We start from the raw sequence: 19,288 nt of genomic DNA, 5'->3' as shown, positions 1-19,288 counted from the left end.
ACTATTATAATTGTCTTTTTTCTGCAGTTGGGACCAGATTATACATTTGACACTTGTACACTTATTACACACATTAATATATATAAGTGCTACATCATAGATAATCAATGCCACTGCCACAATTTTTTTTTTTTTTTTGGAGACAGAATCTCACTCCATCACTAGGCTGGAATGCAGTGGCGCGATCTCGGCTCACTGCAACCTCTGCTTCCCGGGTTCAAGCAATTCTCCTACCTCAGCCTCCTGAGTAGCTGGGATTACAAGCACATGCCACCACACCAAGCTAATTTTTGTATTTTTAGTAGAGACAGGGTTTCACCATGTTGGCAGGCTGATCTCGATCTCGTGACCTCATGATCTGCCCGCCTTGGCCTCCCAAAGTGCTGGGATTACAGGCGTGAGCCACCGCGCCCAGCCCCAATGCCACAATTCTTATACTCAAAGAGCAAGCAGATACCTTTTGCTTTAGTTCCTGTAAATCATGGCAGAGGTGCTTAAATTTTAAAAATTGTCTTTCCTCATAGGAGTCTAAACAATGTCTCAACACTGTCAAGAGCCATAGCAATCTACACAAGCCAGGTAAAAGGGAAAATTACGGCCAAAGCAAAGGTTGGGGGCTAAGGTTGGAGAGGCAGGCACAGGTGGATAGGGAGAAAGCCAGAAGCTGGCAGCAGTCCTCATTACACTGCAAGTTTGGGCAATACTGTCTACTTTCAAGCTCCCCTCTCCCTGGATTAATACCCCCACATACGTGCCCCCCAACTTGCCCCCAATCCTTTGTGATCTCAGTTCATTCTAGTGTAGCAGTCTCCACCCTCAGTCTGGAGTGGGGAGAGATGATGGGTATACAGTGTCATCGATCTAGTTGTGTCCTTCAAAGAATACAATGGGTAAGCGCAAAACGGGAGTAGTATACATAAGAAATTAATAGCCATAGACAACAAGTACATACACACATGCACACATAGCATGCACAAGAGAAAATGCCTTTCCTTTATTATGTTCACGAAGTAAGCTGGAGGCCAAAAACACAGGACCCAGAGACTAGGTGTGTAGCAATGAAACTCCTCATGCAGCAGGACAGCTTCTCAGACATCTTGTCTTCCAACCCAGCCTTCCAACACATCTAGTTTTTTGACAAGTGAGTCATTTTAACAAGGCCATTCTGAACAACTTCATTTATTCAAAAGCTCTTCTGAGAAGATCTCTGCTTAACTGCGCCAAGGATCTCTCTGCCAGTGATGGCTCTTCTGTGGTTGTAGAAGGACAGCCTAAATGCCTCCAGGCTAACCCATTCCAGTTGCCAAGCATTGAGGGCACCTAGTGCATACAAGACCCAGGAACGCCCGCTGAAATCAGGGTGGATCTAGGGGAGAAATGGCACAGAGGTGAGACAGAAGTAAAGGCTTCCCACAGTGAACAGTTGTGGTCTGACCCAACACCCAGTACTCATGGTTTCTATGAATTCATGTACAAGTGGAACAACATAAGTGACCTTCAAGTTGAATGATGAATTAAAAAATAATAATAAACCACCTAAAGGGGCAACGACAGGCATTTGATGAAACAGGCTGTTATACTGTAAAAGGAAAATAAACCTTGGGACCCCAAAATACTAAACTAAAGGAAAAAGCCAAACTGAGAACTGCTTAGGACAAACCTGCCTCCCATTCTATTCAAAGTCACCCCTCTACTGAGATAAATACATATTTGATTGCCTCACTTGGAGAAGCTAATCAGAAACTCAGTAGAATACAACCACTCGTCTCTTACCTACCTATGATCTGGAAGCCCCCTCCGCGCTTTGAGTTGTCCCGCCTTCACCTCGAGTTGTCCCCTTTCCAGATGGAACCAATGTACATCTTATACATACTGATTGCTGTCTCATGTCTCCCTAAAATATGCAAAAACACACTGTGCCCCTACTACCTTGGGCATATGTCATCAGAGCCTCCTGAGACTGTGTCATGGACACATATCCTCAACCTTGACAAAATAAACTTTCTAAATTAACTGACAAAACACACACACACACACACACAACCACACACACAAAAATTAACTGAGACCTGTCTCAGATTTTTGGGGTTCACATTTTGGTAACCATAAAGGGATTCTGAGTAGAGATGCCCCTGACCTTTGACAAATCTCTTGTCGGTGCTTGGTACCAGCATGAGCTAACTTTATGGCTCAAACCAATAGGACAATTTATTGAAGTCTGCAAGCACCCCCTCCAGAGAATCCCTGATCTCCCCAAATTTAGTCAAGAACTAAAGTTTATTTTGCTGTACAACTCCTCCCTCTTTTGTTTTGTTTGTTTGTTTTGGAGTTTACTTGCTCCCAACAAGGAAGGCAAGATTTCCTGTTTACAGGACGATGGAAGGCAGGTAACTCCTTTATGGAGTTTGAGCTCACTCTCGGCAGGGAAGAGGAGTTTGAGGCTTTTTTCCTGCTTCTAGGATGGTAGAAAGCAGTCTTCAGCCTCAGACCCATCCCTAGGTAAATAACTGAATTGGAGTTTTGTCTTGGCTAAAGTTCAACAACCAGCTGGTCTTAATTTTTTCTCCATTAGAACACTCAGTGATCATATTGTTGGGTTTTTGTTGTTGTTGTTTGTTCCGGTCTTTCTTCCATCAGATTTGACCAGCTTTACATGACTTGATCAAATCCAAGTGAAAATTCCAAATTATGGGTAACAAAACCTCTCTAATTTGACTAAAATTCCTCACAACTATAAAAGAGTTAAAAAATGCATTTGGTTTCTGTGTTTACTTCCTGTCTTAAAAAAAAAAAAAAGTTCTTTCATTTACTTTTCTTCCACCCCATACCTCCTTGCCCCTTTGCCATCTACAGTACCAAAAAATCTAGAGGAGGCTTCTAATGACTTGAACCCTTTAAAAGAATTCAGAACAAAGGTTCTAGTCACCCCTTTTGGGGTGTTCTGTTTTCTTTGTTGAGTTTCAAGAGTCATAGGCAGATTTTTCTTAGGTCTAAAGGTCTGTTTTTCTGTATTACATGACCTGACCTCTTTGGCTTTGGGGGTACCAGAGGTTATCTTGTACTGTGAGAGGATTTGACCTTGATGTGTGTAATGGTGGATGAGAGCTACAAAGTAGGGGTGGCTGAACACAGTCTACAGGAAATGCCCTTGGCTGTTGTTTATTTTTTCTCTCCTAGGAAGTTGTTGTTTAAGGAGCCTAATTCTAGTTCGGAGATGCATTCTAAGAGGTCTTGTCTACTACTTTGTCTCCCAAAAGTAATCTCAATTCGGCTTGTCTGTGTACATTTACATGAGGAACTGAACTGTTGTTTTCATAGATAAATGAGAGACTGAGTTTTCTCAGCTCTGAAGAGAAAGGGCATTTGCTCCTCCCAGCTGAAAGGTGCCCCTGGGTGACCGGGGGCCTTGTGGGAGTGTCTGGGGGGTTGACCCCCATGACATACAACAACCCCACAGGGAAATCTCCAACAAAAATTAATTTAAAAAAAAGACTCATCCAGGAAACACGTATAAAAACTGATCACCTGGCATTTTGAACCCTCTCAGAAGTCTTAGACCTCTGGAGAGAGAAACTGAGACACGTAAGAGGGTGAAACAACTTAGTGGTGACACATTGTGGAGTCTGGCCACAAGCAGCACACATCAAACCACCACACAAAAAACCTGAGGCCACAGCTCAGTTCCCCCTCTTCAGAAAAAAAGTGAGACATAATCTAATGAGGAGAAAACAAGGAGAATGACCTCCTTTTGAACACTCTGTAGGTTTTATGACACCTCTACTTGCCAGAGTTTATGTAAAATGGAATATGGTCCTTGTACACACTTACATTAGAGAAAAAGAGCCCTAAGTTTGACCTGCAAACTACGTTGTTCCTAAATTCTTTTTCGCTATTTTTCTCTTCTGCCTGCTTTAAATCTGCTGTTATTTTTCTCTTCAGATAAAAACCACTGTTTAGATCCAACATATTCATTTTGCAAGCTGGTGAATTTGTATTTATCTCATGGCTAAAGTTCTGAAGTAAAAACTATAAGGTGTGTGTGTATTTAAAAGGACTTTATAATTTCTATAATTTTATGTTCAAATGACAATTAAATTCATATTAATTTCCCTCTAACACAGACTTTTTCTCTCCATAACTTACGATGTAAATTTTGCCATTAGATTTTTACCCGAGTTGTTTCCTTTAATATACAAGTTTAAGACTATTTAACTGACAAGTGCCTAAGATAATAAAACAGGTTGTTAAGAATTTGAAAGTCTAAGATAGGAAAAAAAAAGTTTTTTATGAACTGATAGGAAGTACTTCCACTGGCATGCCTAATACATCTATGTATTTATGTGTTGTATATATAATATATATATAATATTTCACTACTGAAAATATATAAAAGAACTCTAATTGGCTTAAGAAAATAAAACACTTGAATCAAATACTTTATCAGGAAAAAAGAAAAGACTAGTCAAATGCTCTTTCAAGTTTATGTAACAAGTAAAATCTTTAATAAATTAACCTTAACATTATTGGTAAAGTAATATTAGAAATGTCTTAATAATTGCCAACATACATTGTTGTTTGCATTTATTAATTAAACAATTTCATTCTATCCCTGCCAAATACTATAAAGGTGTCAAAATTTGGTATAGGGGTTACAAAACTATAAACACAGCCCAAAAACAGAATGATCTTTGCTTGTGTAATTTCTTTTTTTTTTTTTGAGATGGAGTCTCGCTCTGTCGCCCAGGCTGGAGTGCAGTGGCGCAATCCCGGCTCACTGCAAGCTCCGCCTCCCAGGTTCACACCATTCTCCTGCCTCAGCCTCCTGAGTAGCTGGGACTACAGGTGCCCACCACCACGCCTGGCTAATTTTTTGAATTTTTAGTAAAGATGGGGTTTCACCATGTTATGAAGGATGGTCTCGATCTCCTGACCTTGTGATCCGCCTGCCTCGGCTTCCCAAAGTGCTAGGATTACAGGCGTGAGCCACTGCACCCAGCCAACTTGTGTAATCTTTAATAAGATATTGATATTCATTTAATAAAAAACTATATCTTGAATTTAGTAAGATTACCATAACTCCTAATTTTGTGACTTTAGACGGTCTAGTCTACAGGCAGTAAGGTTTGTTTGGGGAAGGGTTTGTTATCATCTTTGTTTCAAAGCTAAACTATAAATTCCTCCCAAAGTTAGTTCAGCCCACACCCCAAAATAAACAAGGACAACTTGGAGGTTAAAACTGAGATCACTGTCTCAGTTATAATTTTACAATGATGGTTCCATAACTTTAAATGATGATTATCACAGTTTTCAGAAATAATCTAGGTAAATGACTTCTGTCTAATTTAAAATGTATTTAAAGGTTATGTATAAAACAAGATAAAAGGAACCCAGAAGTAAGAAAGATGTGAAGAAAGTTATAAAAGTAAAGAGGTTTTTTTTTTTTTCGGTAAGAAAGCGTAAAGAGAAATGAGAAAGAGTCTTGTACGGTAGATTTAGTCCTAAAGTAAAATAACTGATGGTTTAAGAAAGAGGGATGTTCAGGACAAGCCAGAAAGTCCAAACATGTTATGAACAGTCTGTGTAAGTCACAATAAGAAAATTCATTTTTTAAAAAAGTTTTATATGATCAAGTTGTCAATTAAAGAGAAAGTATAATGATCTTTCTAGAAATTGGGCTTGATGTTAAAAAAAACACTTCTACACTAAATAATTGGTTAGAACAATGAAATTTTCTTAAGGGATTGACTTACTCTTAATAAATTACAAGAGATTTTAACTTTTTTTAGCCCAAAGTTCAACTTTCATTGCATCTCGCCATTTTCAGTTTTCTTTCTCCTTTTAAAGGGCACAAAATAGTAATGCTCTCCTTCAACTCATTTTCAGCTCATACTTTTAAATACAAGTACTTTTAAAGTACTTGTGACATTGAGTTATAGGACTTTGACTCCTGGGACTAAAAAGGACACCAAGTCCTGCTAAATCTTAAACACTGACAACAATTAAAGCCTCATCTTCAGGCCCAATAGAAGATGTCAATTAAAATAAACTACATTCCTGAAGTCACAGGGCCAGAAATTAAAATTATTCAACTCCTCAAGGCCCAGGGACTATCACAGAAGAGGTGAATATGTGAGATTTTTAAGGGCTGATTTTGAGAGATAAAATAAGTTCAGTTTCCCTATAAATTAATAATTAATATCAAAGACACACTGATACAAGACCAATGCATAAGCCCCTATGTCAGATTAACAAGGTTTTTTTGAAACATTAACTGACTCCTTAATAAAAGTTATAAAAGGTTTATGGAAATTATATCTTATGGTCAAGATTTAAAAAAAAAAATTTTTTTTGACACAGAGTCTCACTCTATCACCCAGGCTGGAGTGCAGTGGCGTGATAATGGCTCAGTGCAACCTCTGCCTCCTGGTTCAAGCAATTCTCCTGCCTCAGCCTCCCAAGTAACTGAGATTATAGGCACATGCCACCATGCCCAGCTAATTTTTGTATTTTTAGTAGAGACAGGGTTTCACCATGTTGGCCAGGCTGGTCTCAAACTCCTGACCTCAGGTGATCCACCCGCCTCAGTCTCCCAAAGTGCTGGGATTACAGGCTTGAGTCACCACACCTGGCCGAGATTAAAATTTTATAGATTGCTTATAAAATTTTTAAAAACAAGGGCTGGGTGCAGTGGCTCACACCTGTAATCCCAGCACTTTGGGAGGCCAAAGTGGGTGGATCATGATGTCAGGAGATCGAGACCATCCTGGCTAACGTGGTAAAACTCTGTCTCTACTAAAAATACAAAAAATTAGCCAGGTGTGGTGGCAGGCGCCTGTAGTCCCAGCTACTTAGGAGGCTGAGGCAGGAGAATGGCGTGAACCCCAGAGACGCAGCTTGCAGTGAGCCAAGATCACACCACTGCACTCCATCCTGGGCGACAGAGCAAGACTCCGTTTCAAAAAAAAAAAAATTGTAGTTGCCTTCATACTGTTTATTAGGACTTATTGTTTGGAAAATTAAGTGTCCTCTCTCAAAGAATGAAAGTTTTTGCCTTTTTTTGAAATCCTTGAGTTATCACTTTGGTCAAATGAATGACTTGTTTTACAATGACCTGTGTTTTTAACCTTTGATATTTTACAAAATTTCCAAAATCAAATTATAAATTTTGTCTTTTTCTGACCTAATTAATCCTTTAAGATATTAGGTTCCCTAAAGTCAAAATTTAATCCTTTAAGATATTGGGTTTCCCAAAAGTCCTAGTTTGAATTATTTTATATACAAATTATACAGGAAACAAGTCAAATCTAAAATGATATTTGACTTTATCTGGGCTGTATTTATATAAATATGTTATTGGTATGTGTTCCAAAATTATGGGAAATTCCTATAATTCTGATATGACTTAGTATACATTATCAGTAATTATAATTGTTATGTTAAATTATTGTGTGCCACAGAAGTAACAAATTTCCTTGTCAATTGTATGTCAGCTATGACTGACCTAAAACTTTGTCATCCACAGACAATTGTTGTTTGCTTTGGTCCTCTTTAGAAGGTGGCTTTATAAACAACCATAAAGCTCTAACAGATCCTCTTGAATACAAATTTCTGATAACTTTGGAGACTGTGACATCAGAATAGAAGAAAAATGTTTAAGATTCATGGAAAACGGAAATGTTTATAAATAGTGACCTAATAGAAGACTGAAATAATCTTTTTGACTTCTGACTTAAAACTTTATTGCTGATCCTTTGTTTTGTTTTTTTCATAGTCAAGGAAACTTTTCCTTTGAGCTATTGACAACTTTTAACAATTTAGTATATGCCTATGAACAAACTTTAAAACATATTTGTTTCTCTCTATCTGACTTCTCCAGAATTTACAAACTATTTATGAGTATTCTTAACTTTTGAAAATACAGTTATTTACAAAAGTACAGTAAGAATCTATTTTCATTTATAACAGGACACGACTAGAGAAACTGGTTATTTTACCAAGACTTTTGACTGGAATGGTGTGCTTTCCTTTAAAGAATCACACTTGACTTATGGAGCCAATAAAAGCCCCTTAGGAAAACTGGCCTCATACCTTGTTGACACAGTCCCTGTACAGGTCTTCAGCCAGGCTGACTTATGATAAGTAAAGAATGTCACTTTCTGACAGGCCCAGGAGCCCCAAGTTTATCTTGGAACCTCAAGAGGAGAAGAATTCACTCAACTCATAGGTATTTGATGGTACAAATCCATGACTGGGCTTGGCTTTTAAAAACTCTTATCTAAGTTTCTTTCTATGGAACAAAGTTCCATCAAAGCCAATTTAAAAGCCTATGTTAAAAAATTTTTCTTGCTATACTATATGCAAATAATCAGGCCAAGTATAATAAAACAAATCAGTCCTACCATGATTTGTCTTTAATAAAAATGGTAAACTAGACAGAGAAAAATTATATTTCAAAAACTATGGTACACCTGTTATTAGATTCTAGTCTTGCCTAATGTTGTTCGATTTTTATTATTTTCTACAGTTCAGACCAAATTCTAATTTTTCTTGGCTACAAGTCTTCAAAATAATGTTTTCAATTTTTTCTTCCCCCACATCTTTCCCAGTTTAGAGTCACTGAAAACTAAGCTGTGCTTTCATAAAACCCTACGAACTGAAACTAGACAACTTAAACTTCAGAAGAAAATAATAGCAACCTATTTACATACATAAGCCACTTTCATACCTGCCTACTAAAGTATGGACTTCAGAGTAATATGGCCTATACCAATTTTCCAATATTGTTCTTTTGTTTTTGTTTTTCTCCCTTCCTCCCCCTACTTTATCTTCATAGGACATGAGACTTCACAACTTACTAAAAATGAACTTTCCTAGTAACTCAAGACCTACCCATCTAAAAATAAACCATCCTAGCCATGAAACATCAGACAAAACCTGAGAGCAGATTAATTTTCTCCTAAAATGTTTTCTCCAAAAGATTTTAAAAAAGAAAAGGGGGGATGTGAAATGAAAATAAACCTTGGGACCCCCAAAATCACTAAAGGGAAAAGCCAAACTGAGAACTGCTTAGGACAAACCTGATTCTATTCAAAGTCACTGCTCTACTCACTGAGATATATACATATCTGATTGCCTCATTTGGAGAGGCTAATCAGAAACTCAATAGAATACAACCATTTGTCTCCTATCTACCTATGACCTGGAAGCCCCTCCCCACTTTGAGTTGTCCTGCCTTCGACTCAAGTTGTCTCACCTTTCCAGACTGAACCAGTATATATCTTAAACATATTGATTGATGTCTCATGTCTCCCTAAAATATATAAAACCACACTGTGCCCCTAACACCTTGGACCCATGTCATCAGAACCTCCTGAGACTGTGTCACGGACACACATCCTCAACCTTGACAAAATAAACTTTCTAAGCTAACTGAGACCTATCTCAGATTTTTGGGGTCCACAGTACCTATCAGCAGTTTCTTGGGATGAGAAAGAAGAGAGGGACGGGAATTTGGAGCTGGTGAGAAAGATAACCGTTGTTTGGATAACACAGACTAATTCCAGTCACTTCAACCTTTGTGACTTGGTTTTTCCTAACAGAAGTGGAGTTAACGTCCAACACCATCTGAAGATGGAAAACACTTAGTTTAGAATGTGCTTTCCCACTTTATATTTCACATTAAGTAAGCATTTTACTTTGACATTTCTCAATCTTCAGCCTCTCTTTCTTCCTGTTACTTCTTTGTGGTCTTCAGCCAGGCTGGAAAACTTGGTCTTCCTCGGATGTGTCCCTGTGTTTTCCAGCCTCCACCCCACTGTTCATCTGTCACTTCTACCTACCATGCTGACACTCAACAGCACTCTTCAGATCCTATCCATCCTGTAAGGCTCCTCCCCAAGTGCCAGCTCCCTTATCTGTGTTCCACACACACTTACTAAGTTCCTCCTCCCACTGAGAACATTGGCACTCTCTGCCGTCAGGCCCTGTATCACATGTTGCTACATGTCATTAGTGTCCTTGTTTAATGTTAGAGAGACAACCAGAGTAGTAAAAATAAGCTGTTCTGAGAATCATTTACCCAACGCTCTAATCCTAGCTCCACTTGGACATGAGACATATGGAGCAAGTCATATTTTCACACTGCTCTCAGCTTCTTGTTGCTGTGTGTGTGTGTGTGTGTGTGTGTGTGTGTGTGTGTAAGACAGAGAGAGAGGGGAGGGAGGGAAGAAGGGGGAGATGGGGGATGAGAGGGAGAGGGAGGAGAGAGGGAGGCTTGAGGTGAGATTCAAAAAGTTTTCCTGGTTCTAATAATTGAGAAATACTTCCTCCTCAACACTCTCCCACCGCAGGATTGTGAGTCCCTTTACAATAAAGTCTGCATCATTTTCATCTGAGTTCCCACAGCAAACAAGGCTTGCACTTAGACCACTTAGACACTCAATACATTTATCCAACCAATATCTTGTTTTATCCTTACAGTGCCCTGAGACAGTGACTCCAGCCACAGACCCAAGCCTTGGGAGGTACAAGGTGGCCTGCCAGGCCCACACAGTTAAGAACAAGCCAAAGAAAGACTAATTAGAGGAGAATGTCCAGGGAATGCACAAAGGACTACTTAATGCAAGTACTCCCATAGAGGGTCCTACCAGCCCTACAGGCTCTAGAGCAGGGGTTCTCCACTGGGGGTAATCTTGCCCTCCAGAGGACATTCAGCAATGCCTGAACATTTTTGGTTGTCACAACTGGGAGGGAGGGAGCAACTGGCATGTAGCAGATAGAGGCCGTAGAGGCTGCTTAACATCCTACAATGCACAGAACCCCACAACAAAGAGTTAACCAGCCCCAACATGTCAACAGGGCTATGGTTGAGAAGCTCTGTTCTATATATCCTCACTACACATCATGCACCTTCTCTCCTCTCCCATCTTTCCTTAATCTCATTTTCCCCTTTGTTTCCCAAGATAAGCAACAGATTCTAGATGATATTACCGGAATATGGGAGCTGTGGTATGACACACGTGAACACTCAAACTTACTTCCTTGTCATGAAGGCGTAAAATTCAGTCAAGATTTCAGAAAATCTCCTTACATCTTTTGAATCTTCCCAGCTTTTGAGGGGGAAGATTTTCCTGATTGTTTTCTACCAATTTCTTATGCCACGGGGTGAAGTTGGGTGGGCAGGAGGAAGGAACCAGGGTGCCTACCCCTCCTAAGTAATATTAGAAATACAGAGCATCATTTGACGAAAACTGATCTATGCCACTCTTCAAAGTTACAAAACAGACTAGGTGGCAAATATCCGCTTTACAAGAAAAGGAGAGGGCGTTTAAGAATCAGTTTAGGCCAGGCGCAGTGGCTCATGTCTATAATTCCAACACTTTGGGAGGCCAACATAGGAGGATTGCTTGAGCCCAGGAGTTCAAGACCAGCCTGGGAAACGTAGTGAGACCCTATCTAAAAAAAATAAAAACCCACTAAAACAGACAAGCAAATTAGCTAGGCATGGTGGCGTGGGCTTATAGTCTCATCTACTTGGGAGGTTGAGGTGGAAGAATCATTTGAGCCCAGGAGATGGAGGCTGCAGTGAGCTATGATTGCAACAATGCACTATAGTCTGGGTGACAGAGCAAGACCCCATCTCAAAAAAAAGGAAAAAGAATCAGTTTACAGATTTACAGATTGCCTGTCAACAGATACGAGAGCGAGAGAGACATTCATTAAGAGCTCAGGTGTTCAGAGCTGCTGCCAACAGAAAGAAAACGAAGCGAGAGAAGACAGCAGCCATTAGCAGATCCAATTTAGAAAAGCTGTTGGCACATAACTTTTCAGGAACACTATGTGTGAAGGACTCCTGTATCACAGTAAGTTGAAGTCAAGATGATACCCAGGGCCGCTAACATGATACCTCTCTTGGCCATTCTAAGCTTCTACAAAGAGTGCACCAACTCACTTGCTTTAGGATTTTCCCCATGTAACTAAAATAGGCTTCCTTCCTCCTCTTCTTTCTCCACCTCCTCTTCTTCCCAGTGGCTGAGTTGGCCCACTCATGCTTCTTTTTGACTGGGAAATAAAGCTCAGTCTTGTTCTTAGGGAATCTTAGGTCATTTAAGCAAATGAAATACATGTTGAAAGCTCAATCTTTAGGCCCCTAGCTCAGAGCACTGGCTGTAGGTCAGTGTGTGCTCCAAAAAGGTTTTATAGGGAGCGCTGAAGTATGCTTTCCTAATTAAATTAGTGATCACACCTGCAGAAGATGAAGGTGCTCAGAATCCTTAATAGATATTAGGTGTAGGCCGGCACAGTGGCTCACACTTGTAATCCCAGCACTTTGGGAGGCCGAGGTGGGAGGATCACTTCACCCCAGGAGTTTGAGACCAGCCTGGGCAACATGGTGAAACCCTGTCTCTACCAAAAAAAAAAAAAAATTGTCGGGCATGGTGGTACATGCCTGTGGTCCCAGCTACTTGGGAGGCTGAGGTGGGAGGATCACCTGAGCCCAGGAGATGGAGGCTGCAGTGAGCCGTGATCATGCCACTGCACTCCTGCACTCCATTCTGGGTGACAGAGTAAGACTCTGTTTCAAAAAAAAAAAAAAAAAAAAGATTAGGTGTAGACTCTAAACGAGAGAGGCTACTTTGATGCAATGGCCATTAATTTACCAGGCAACAGTCATTTCAGAAGTTATTCTTTTATTGTACCTAACTCAAGGTGTTTTTATTACATGATTCTTAGCCACTAAGATTTATATTCAAAAGACTGGGAGTGAAACCTGGAAGATAGATGTTTCTAAAGCAGGCCAGGTAAATCTAATGACCAACCAGATATGGAATTTATTGATCTATGAAAGCTTCCTGAAACAACTACACAAGATTTGGGTTGGAGTGGAGGAGGCATCTATTCACAGACATTGCACTTATGCCTTGTATTTGTATTTGCATCAGGAGAAAAACGCATCCTCTGAAAGGCAAGCACATACCTGGTTATGCAACAGCAATTAGGAACTTGGGTGACAGCATGAACAAAAATGCCAGGAAGTGACTGTATCTACAAGACTCAACTTTGAGAAATTGTAGATAGCCCATGAACTTCCTGCAATTAGTGTATCAGTTCAGCTACAAGGAATTGACCAGCCTGACACGAACGAACAGATAAGAGGACACCAGAGAACCAGGGTGTCAAAGGAGAGAAGAACCAGATCAGAACAGACACTCTTTCCCCTACTACTGGTTATAAGTTGCTTCAAAGCCTTGGTGCAAGGGACTGGCAGATAATAACAGTGCCGTCAACTTAGGAGCCCTAACTATGTCCCAGATGCCACACTAACATTCTTTATCCCATTTAATTATCAGAGCAACGCTATGAGGTAAGATATTAGCATTACTCCACTTAACAGAGAAGGACACTGAGGTTCAGAGGGCTTAAGTGACTTGCACAGGGTCATATACAGTGTCTGAGTGGCAAAGCCAGCCTTGGAGCCTTTGCTTTCTAACTCGCATTCTCTCTCCTTCCAAAACTGAACACCAGAGCCCCACAATGTTTGTAGTTACACATGTGCTCTACATAATTGCTACATGTATCAATTCATTGCTGGAGAATTTCAAATGTAACTTATTTATAGTGTAGGTTGAATTCTTCTGAATTATTTCTTTGATACTCTGCAAAGTCCTGAATTTAAAACCCTGAAAAAAAAATCTGAATAGTGCCTGAGTTAACAACAACGACAACAAAAACTAAACAGAATACCTCTGTGTACTGGAAAGGAACAAGTATGAAAGGAAAAGGTAGTTGCTTGTTGCCTGGTTGTCAAAACCATGCCCCCACCCCACCCCCAACTCTTACTCTCAAGTCACCAGTCTCATCTTTAAACTCTCTATTTTAAAATGCCATATATGGCTGGGTGTGGTGGCTCACGCCTGTAATCCCAACACTTTGGGAGGCCAAGGCGGGCGGATCACTTGAGGTCAGGAGTTCAATATCAGCCTGGCCAACATGGTGAAACCCCGTCTCTACTAAAAATACAAAAATTAGTCGGGTGTGGTGGTGGGCACCTGTAATCCCAGCTACTCGGGAGGCTGAGGCAGGAGAATCGCTTGAACCTGGGAGGTGGAGGTTGCAGTGAGCCGGGATTACACCACTGCACTCCAGCCTGGGCAACAGAGTAAGACTCTGTCTCAAAACAAAATAAATAAAATAAAATAAAATAAAATAAAATAAAATAAAATAAAATGCCATTTATACACAGAGCATGTATGATAGAGTGAATCAGAAGGTTTTTTGTTTTGTTTTGTTTTTGTTGTTTTTTGTTTGTTTTTGTTTTTTCTCATTATTTTAAACAAATTCAAGTCACACTTTAACACAGAGTGAATCAGAAGTTTTTTTTTTTGTTTTTTTGTTTTTTTCTTTTTTTATACTTTAAGTTTTAGGGTACATGTGCACATTGTGCAGGTTAGTTACATATGTATACATGTGCCATGCTGGTGCGCTGCACCCACTAACTTGTCATCTAGCATTAGGTATATCTCCCAATGCTATCCCTCCCCCCTCCCCCCACCCCACAATAGTCCCCAGAGTGTGATATTCCCCTTCCTATGTCCATGTGATCTCATTGTTCAGTTCCCACCTATGAGTGAGAATATGCGGTGTTTGGTTTTTTGTTCTTGCGATAGTTTACTGAGAATGATGATTTCCAATTTCATCCATGTCCCTACAAAGGACATGAACTCATCATTTTTTATGGCTGCATAGTATTCCATGGTGTATATGTGCCACATTTTCTTAATCCAGTCTATCATTGTTGGACATTTGGGTTGGTTCCAAGTCTTTGCTATTGTGAATAATGCCGCAATAAACATACGTGTGCATGTGTCTTTATAGCAGCATGATTTATAGTCATTTGGGTATATACCCAGTAATGGGATGGCTGGGTCAAATGGTATTTCTAGTTCTAGATCCCTGAGGAATCGCCACACTGACTTCCACAATGGATGAACTAGTTTACAGTCCCACCAACAGTGTAAAAGTGTTCCTATTTCTCCACATCCTCTCCAGCACGTGTTGTTTCCTGACTTTTTAATGATTGCCATTCTAACTGGTGTGAGATGGTATCTCATTGTGGTTTTGATTTGCATTTCTCTGATGGCCAGTGATGATGAGCATTTTTTCATGTGTTTTTTGGCTGCATAAATGTCTTCTTTTGAGAAGTGTCTGTTCATGTCCTTCGCCCACTTTTTGATGGGGTTGTTTGTTTTTTTCTTGTAAATTTGTTTGAGTTCATTGTAGATTCTGGATATTAGCCCTTTGTCAGATGAGTAGGTTGCGAAAATTTTCTCCCATTTTGTAGGTTGCCTGTTCACTCTGATGGTAGTTTCTTTTGCTGTGCAGAAGCTCTTTAGTTTAATTAGATCCCATTTGTCAATTTTGGCTTTTGTTGCCATTGCTTTTGGTGTTTTGGACATGAAGTCCTTGCCCATGCCTATGTCCTGAATGGTCATGCCTAGGTTTTCTTCTAGGGTTTTTATGGTTTTAGGTCTAACGTTTAAATCTTTAATCCATCTTGAATTGATTTTTGTATAAGGTGTAAGGAAGGGATCCAGTTTCAGCTTCCTACATATGGCTAGCCAGTTTTCCCAGCACCATTTATTAAATAGGGAATCCTTTCCCCATTGCTTGTTTTTCTCAGGTTTGTCAAAGATCAGATAGTTGTAGGTATGCGGCATTATTTCTGAGGGCTCTGTTCTGTTCCATTGATCTATATCTCTGTTTTGGTACCAGTACCATGCTGTTTTGGTTACTGTAGCCTTGTAGTATAGTTTGAAGTCAGGTAGTGTGATGCCTCCAGCTTTGTTCTTTTGGCTTAGGATTGACTTGGTGATGCGGGCTCTTTTTTGGTTCCATATGAACTTGAAAGTAGTTTTTTCCAATTCTGTGAAGAAAGTCATTGGTAGCTTGATGGGGATGGCATTGAATCTGTAAATTACCTTGGGCAGTATGGCCATTTTCATGATATTGATTCTTCCTACCCATGAGCATGGAATGTTCTTCCATTTGTTTGTATCCTCTTTTATTTCCTTGAGCAGTGGTTTGTAGTTCTCCTTGAAGAGGTCCTTCACATCCCTTGTAAGTTGGATTCCTAGGTATTTTATTCTCTTTGAAGCAATTGTGAATGGGAGTTCACTCATGATTTGGCTCTCTGTTTGTCTGTTGTTGGTGTATAAGAATGCTTGTGATTTTTGTACATTGATTTTGTATCCTGAGACTTTGCTGAAGTTGCTTATCAGCTTAAGGAGATTTTGGGCTGAGACAATGGGGTTTTCTAGATATAGAATCATGTCATCTGCAAACAGGGACAATTTGACTTCCTCTTTTCCTAATTGGATACCCTTTATTTCCTTCTCTTGCCTAATTGCCCTGGCCAGAACTTCCAGCACTATGTTGAATAGGAGTGGTGAGAGAGGGCATCCCTGTCTTGTGCCAGTTTTCAAAGGGAATGCTTCCAGTTTTTGCCCATTCAGTATGATATTGGCTGTGGGTTTGTCATAGATAGCTCTTATTATTTTGAAATACGTCCCATCAATACCTAATTTCTTGAGAGTTTTTAGCATGAAGGGTTGTTGAATTTTGTCAAAGGCTTTTTCTGCATCTATTGAGATAATCATGTGGTTTTTGTCTTTGGCTCTGTTTATATGCTGGATTACATTTATTGATTTGCGTATATTGAACCAGCCTTGCATCACAGGGATGAAGCCCACTTGATCATGGTGGATAAGCTTTTTGATGTGCTGCTGGATTCGGTTTGCCAGTATTTTATTGAGGATTTTTGCATCAATGTTCATCAAGGATATTGGTCTAAAATTCTCTTTTTTGGTTGTGTCTCTGCCCAGCTTTGGTATCAGAATGATGCTGGCCTCATAAAATGAGTTAGGGAGGATTCCCTCTTTTTCTATTGATTGGAATAGTTTCAGAAGGAATGGTACCAGTTCCTCCTTGTACCTCTGGTAGAATTCAGCTGTGAATCCATCTGGTCCTGGACTCTTTTTGGTTGGTAAACTATCGATTATTGCCACAATTTCAGCTCCTGTTACTGGTCTATTCAGAGATTCAACTTCTTCCTGGTTTAGTCTTGGGAGAGTGTATGTGTTGAGGAATTTATCCATTTCTTCTAGATTTTCTAGTTTATTTGCGTAGAGGTGTTTGTAGTATTCTCTGATGGTAGTTTGTATTTCTGTGGGATCGGTGGTGATATCCCCTTTATCATTTTTTATTGTGTCTATTTGATTCTTCTCTCTTTTTTTCTTTATTAGTCTTGCTAGTGGTCTATCAATTTTGTTGATCCTTTCAAAAAACCAGCTCCTGGATTCATTGATTTTTTGAAGGGTTTTTTGTGTCTCTATTTCCTTCAGTTCTGCTCTGATTTTAGTTATTTCTTGCCTTCTGCTAGCTTTTGAATGTGTTTGCTCTTGCTTTTCTAGTTCTTTTAATTGTGATGTTAGGGTGTCAATTTTGGATCTTTCCTGCTTTCTCTTGTGGGCATTTAGTGCTATAAATTTCCCTCTACACACTGCTTTGAATGCGTCCCAGAGATTCTGGTATGTTGTGTCTTTGTTCTCGTTGGTTTCAAAGAACATCTTTATTTCTGCCTTCATTTCGTTATGTACTCAGTAGTCATTCAGGAGCAGGTTGTTCAGTTTCCATGTAGTTGAGCGGCTTTGAGTGAGATTCTTAATCCTGAGTTCTAGTTTGATTGCACTGTGGTCTGAGAGATAGTTTGTTATAATTTCTGTTCTTTTACATTTGCTGAGGAGAGCTTTACTTCCAACTATGTGGTCAATTTTGGAATAGGTGTGGTGTGGTGCTGAAAAAAATGTATATTCTGTTGATTTGGGTTGGAGAGTTCTGTAGATGTCTATTAGGTCCGCTTGGTGCAGAGCTGAGTTCAATTCCTGGGTATCCTTGTTGACTTTCTATCTCGTTGATCTGTCTAATGTTGACAGTGGGGTGTTAAAGTCTCCCATTATTAATGCGTGGGAGTCTAAGTCTCTTTGTAGGTCACTCAGGACTTGCTTTATGAATCTGGGTGCTCCTGTATTGGGTGCATATATATTTAGGATAGTTAGCTCTTCTTGTTGAATTGATCCCTTTACCATTATGTAATGGCCTTCTTTGTCTCTTTTGATCTTTGTTGGTTTAAAGTCTGTTTTATCAGAGACTAGGATTGCAACCCCTGCCTTTTTTTGTTTTCCATTTGCTTGGTAGATCTTCCTCCATCCTTTTATTTTGAGCCTATGTGTGTCTCTGCACATGAGATGGGTTTCCTGAATACAGCACACTGATGGGTCTTGACTCTTTATCCAATTTGCCAGTCTGTGTCTTTTCATTGGAGCATTTAGTCCATTTACATTTAAAGTTAATATTGTTATGTGTGCATTTGATCCTGTCATTATGATGTTAGCTGGTGATTTTGCTCGTTAGTTGATGCAGTTTCTTCCTAGTCTCGATGGTCTTTACATTTTGGCATGATTTTGCAGCGGCTGGTACCGGTTGTTCCTTTCCATGTTTAGTGCTTCCTTCAGGAGCTCTTTTAGGGCAGGCCTGGTGGTGACAAAATCTCTCAGCATTTGCTTGTCTGTAAAGGATTTTATTTCTCCTTCACTTATGAAGCTTAGTTTGGCTGGATATGAAATTCTGGGTTGAAAATTCTTTTCTTTAAGAATGTTGAATATTGGCCCCCACTCTCTTCTGGCTTGTAGGGTTTCTGATGAGAGATCCGCTGTTAGTCTGATGGGCTTCCCTTTGAGGGTAACCCGACCTTTCTCTCTGGCTGCCTTTAACATTTTTTCCTTCATTTCAACTTTGGTGAATCTGACAATTATGTGTCTTGGAGTTGCTCTTCTCGAGGAGTATCTTTGTGGCGTTCTCTGTATTTCCTGAATCTGAACGTTGGCCTGCCTTGCTAGATTGGGGAAGTTCTCCTGGATAATATCCTGCAGAGTGTTTTCCAACTTGGTTCCATTCTCCCCATCACTTTCAGGTACACCAATCAGACGTAGATTTGGTCTTTTCACATAGTCCCATATTTCTTGGAGGCTTTGCTCATTTCTTTTTATTCGTTTTTCTCTAAACTTCCCTTCTCGCTTCATTTCATTCATTTCATCTTCCATCACTGATACCCTTTCTTCCAGTTGATCGCATCGGCTCCTGAGGCTTCTGCATTCTTCACGTAAGTCTCGAGCCTTGGTTTTCAGCTCCATCAGCTCCTTTAAGCACTTCTCTGTATTGGTTATTCTAGTTA

The 19,288-nt window shown here is 39.8% G+C and overlaps 1 protein-coding gene and 1 long non-coding RNA gene across 3 annotated transcripts in view, besides 5 other annotated features; both read right to left on the bottom strand.

Moving 5' to 3' along the window:
• Positions 1–970: 970 nt before the first annotated feature.
• H2BN1 (H2B.N variant histone 1) lies at positions 971–12,124 on the bottom strand. Its single transcript, NM_001401340.1, has 2 exons — positions 11,951–12,124; positions 971–1,366 (listed from the first exon to the last, which is right to left on the bottom strand). Exons 1-2 carry the CDS (start codon positions 12,122–12,124, stop codon positions 1,184–1,186), a joined length of 357 nt encoding a protein of 118 aa, NP_001388269.1. The 3' UTR covers positions 971–1,183.
• MYO1D-DT (MYO1D divergent transcript) overlaps positions 971–19,288 on the bottom strand; it is a 29,732-nt gene continuing 11,414 nt past the window's right edge. For both annotated transcript variants that reach the window (NR_184086.1, NR_184087.1), the window contains exon 4: positions 971–1,366. This is a non-coding gene — a long non-coding RNA (MYO1D divergent transcript). The remainder of the gene's footprint in view (positions 1,367–19,288) is intronic.
• Positions 8,012–8,306: a silencer, noted in NCBI's record as "tiled region #12135; K562 Repressive DNase matched - State 5:Enh". NCBI's record gives its function as "represses a minimal TATA promoter and a strong SV40 promoter by Sharpr-MPRA in K562 cells {active_cell/tissue: K562}" and the evidence as "EXISTENCE:reporter gene assay evidence [ECO:0000049][PMID:27701403]".
• Positions 9,649–10,356: a transcriptional cis regulatory region, noted in NCBI's record as "candidate enhancer chr17.1747 targeted for multiplex CRISPR interference". NCBI's record gives its function as "positively regulates TMEM98 gene expression with high confidence in K562 cells {active_cell/tissue: K562}" and the evidence as "EXISTENCE:mutant phenotype evidence [ECO:0000015][PMID:30612741]".
• Positions 9,959–10,005: a transcriptional cis regulatory region, noted in NCBI's record as "MYO1D Non-hub Enh2 region targeted for CRISPR interference". NCBI's record gives its function as "positively regulates MYO1D gene expression in K562 erythroleukemia cells {active_cell/tissue: K562}" and the evidence as "EXISTENCE:mutant phenotype evidence [ECO:0000015][PMID:29507293]".
• Positions 12,645–13,719: a transcriptional cis regulatory region, noted in NCBI's record as "MYO1D Non-hub Enh1 region targeted for CRISPR/Cas9-mediated knockout". NCBI's record gives its function as "positively regulates MYO1D, SPACA3 and TMEM98 gene expression in K562 erythroleukemia cells {active_cell/tissue: K562}" and the evidence as "EXISTENCE:knockout evidence [ECO:0001091][PMID:29507293]".
• Positions 13,092–13,153: a transcriptional cis regulatory region, noted in NCBI's record as "MYO1D Non-hub Enh1 region targeted for CRISPR interference". NCBI's record gives its function as "positively regulates MYO1D gene expression in K562 erythroleukemia cells {active_cell/tissue: K562}" and the evidence as "EXISTENCE:mutant phenotype evidence [ECO:0000015][PMID:29507293]".

This window comes from Homo sapiens, chromosome 17 (genome assembly GCF_000001405.40).
Source record: "Homo sapiens chromosome 17, GRCh38.p14 Primary Assembly".
Classification (NCBI taxonomy): Eukaryota; Metazoa; Chordata; class Mammalia; order Primates; family Hominidae; genus Homo; species Homo sapiens.
This window is presented reverse-complemented; position numbering and strand designations above follow the sequence as displayed.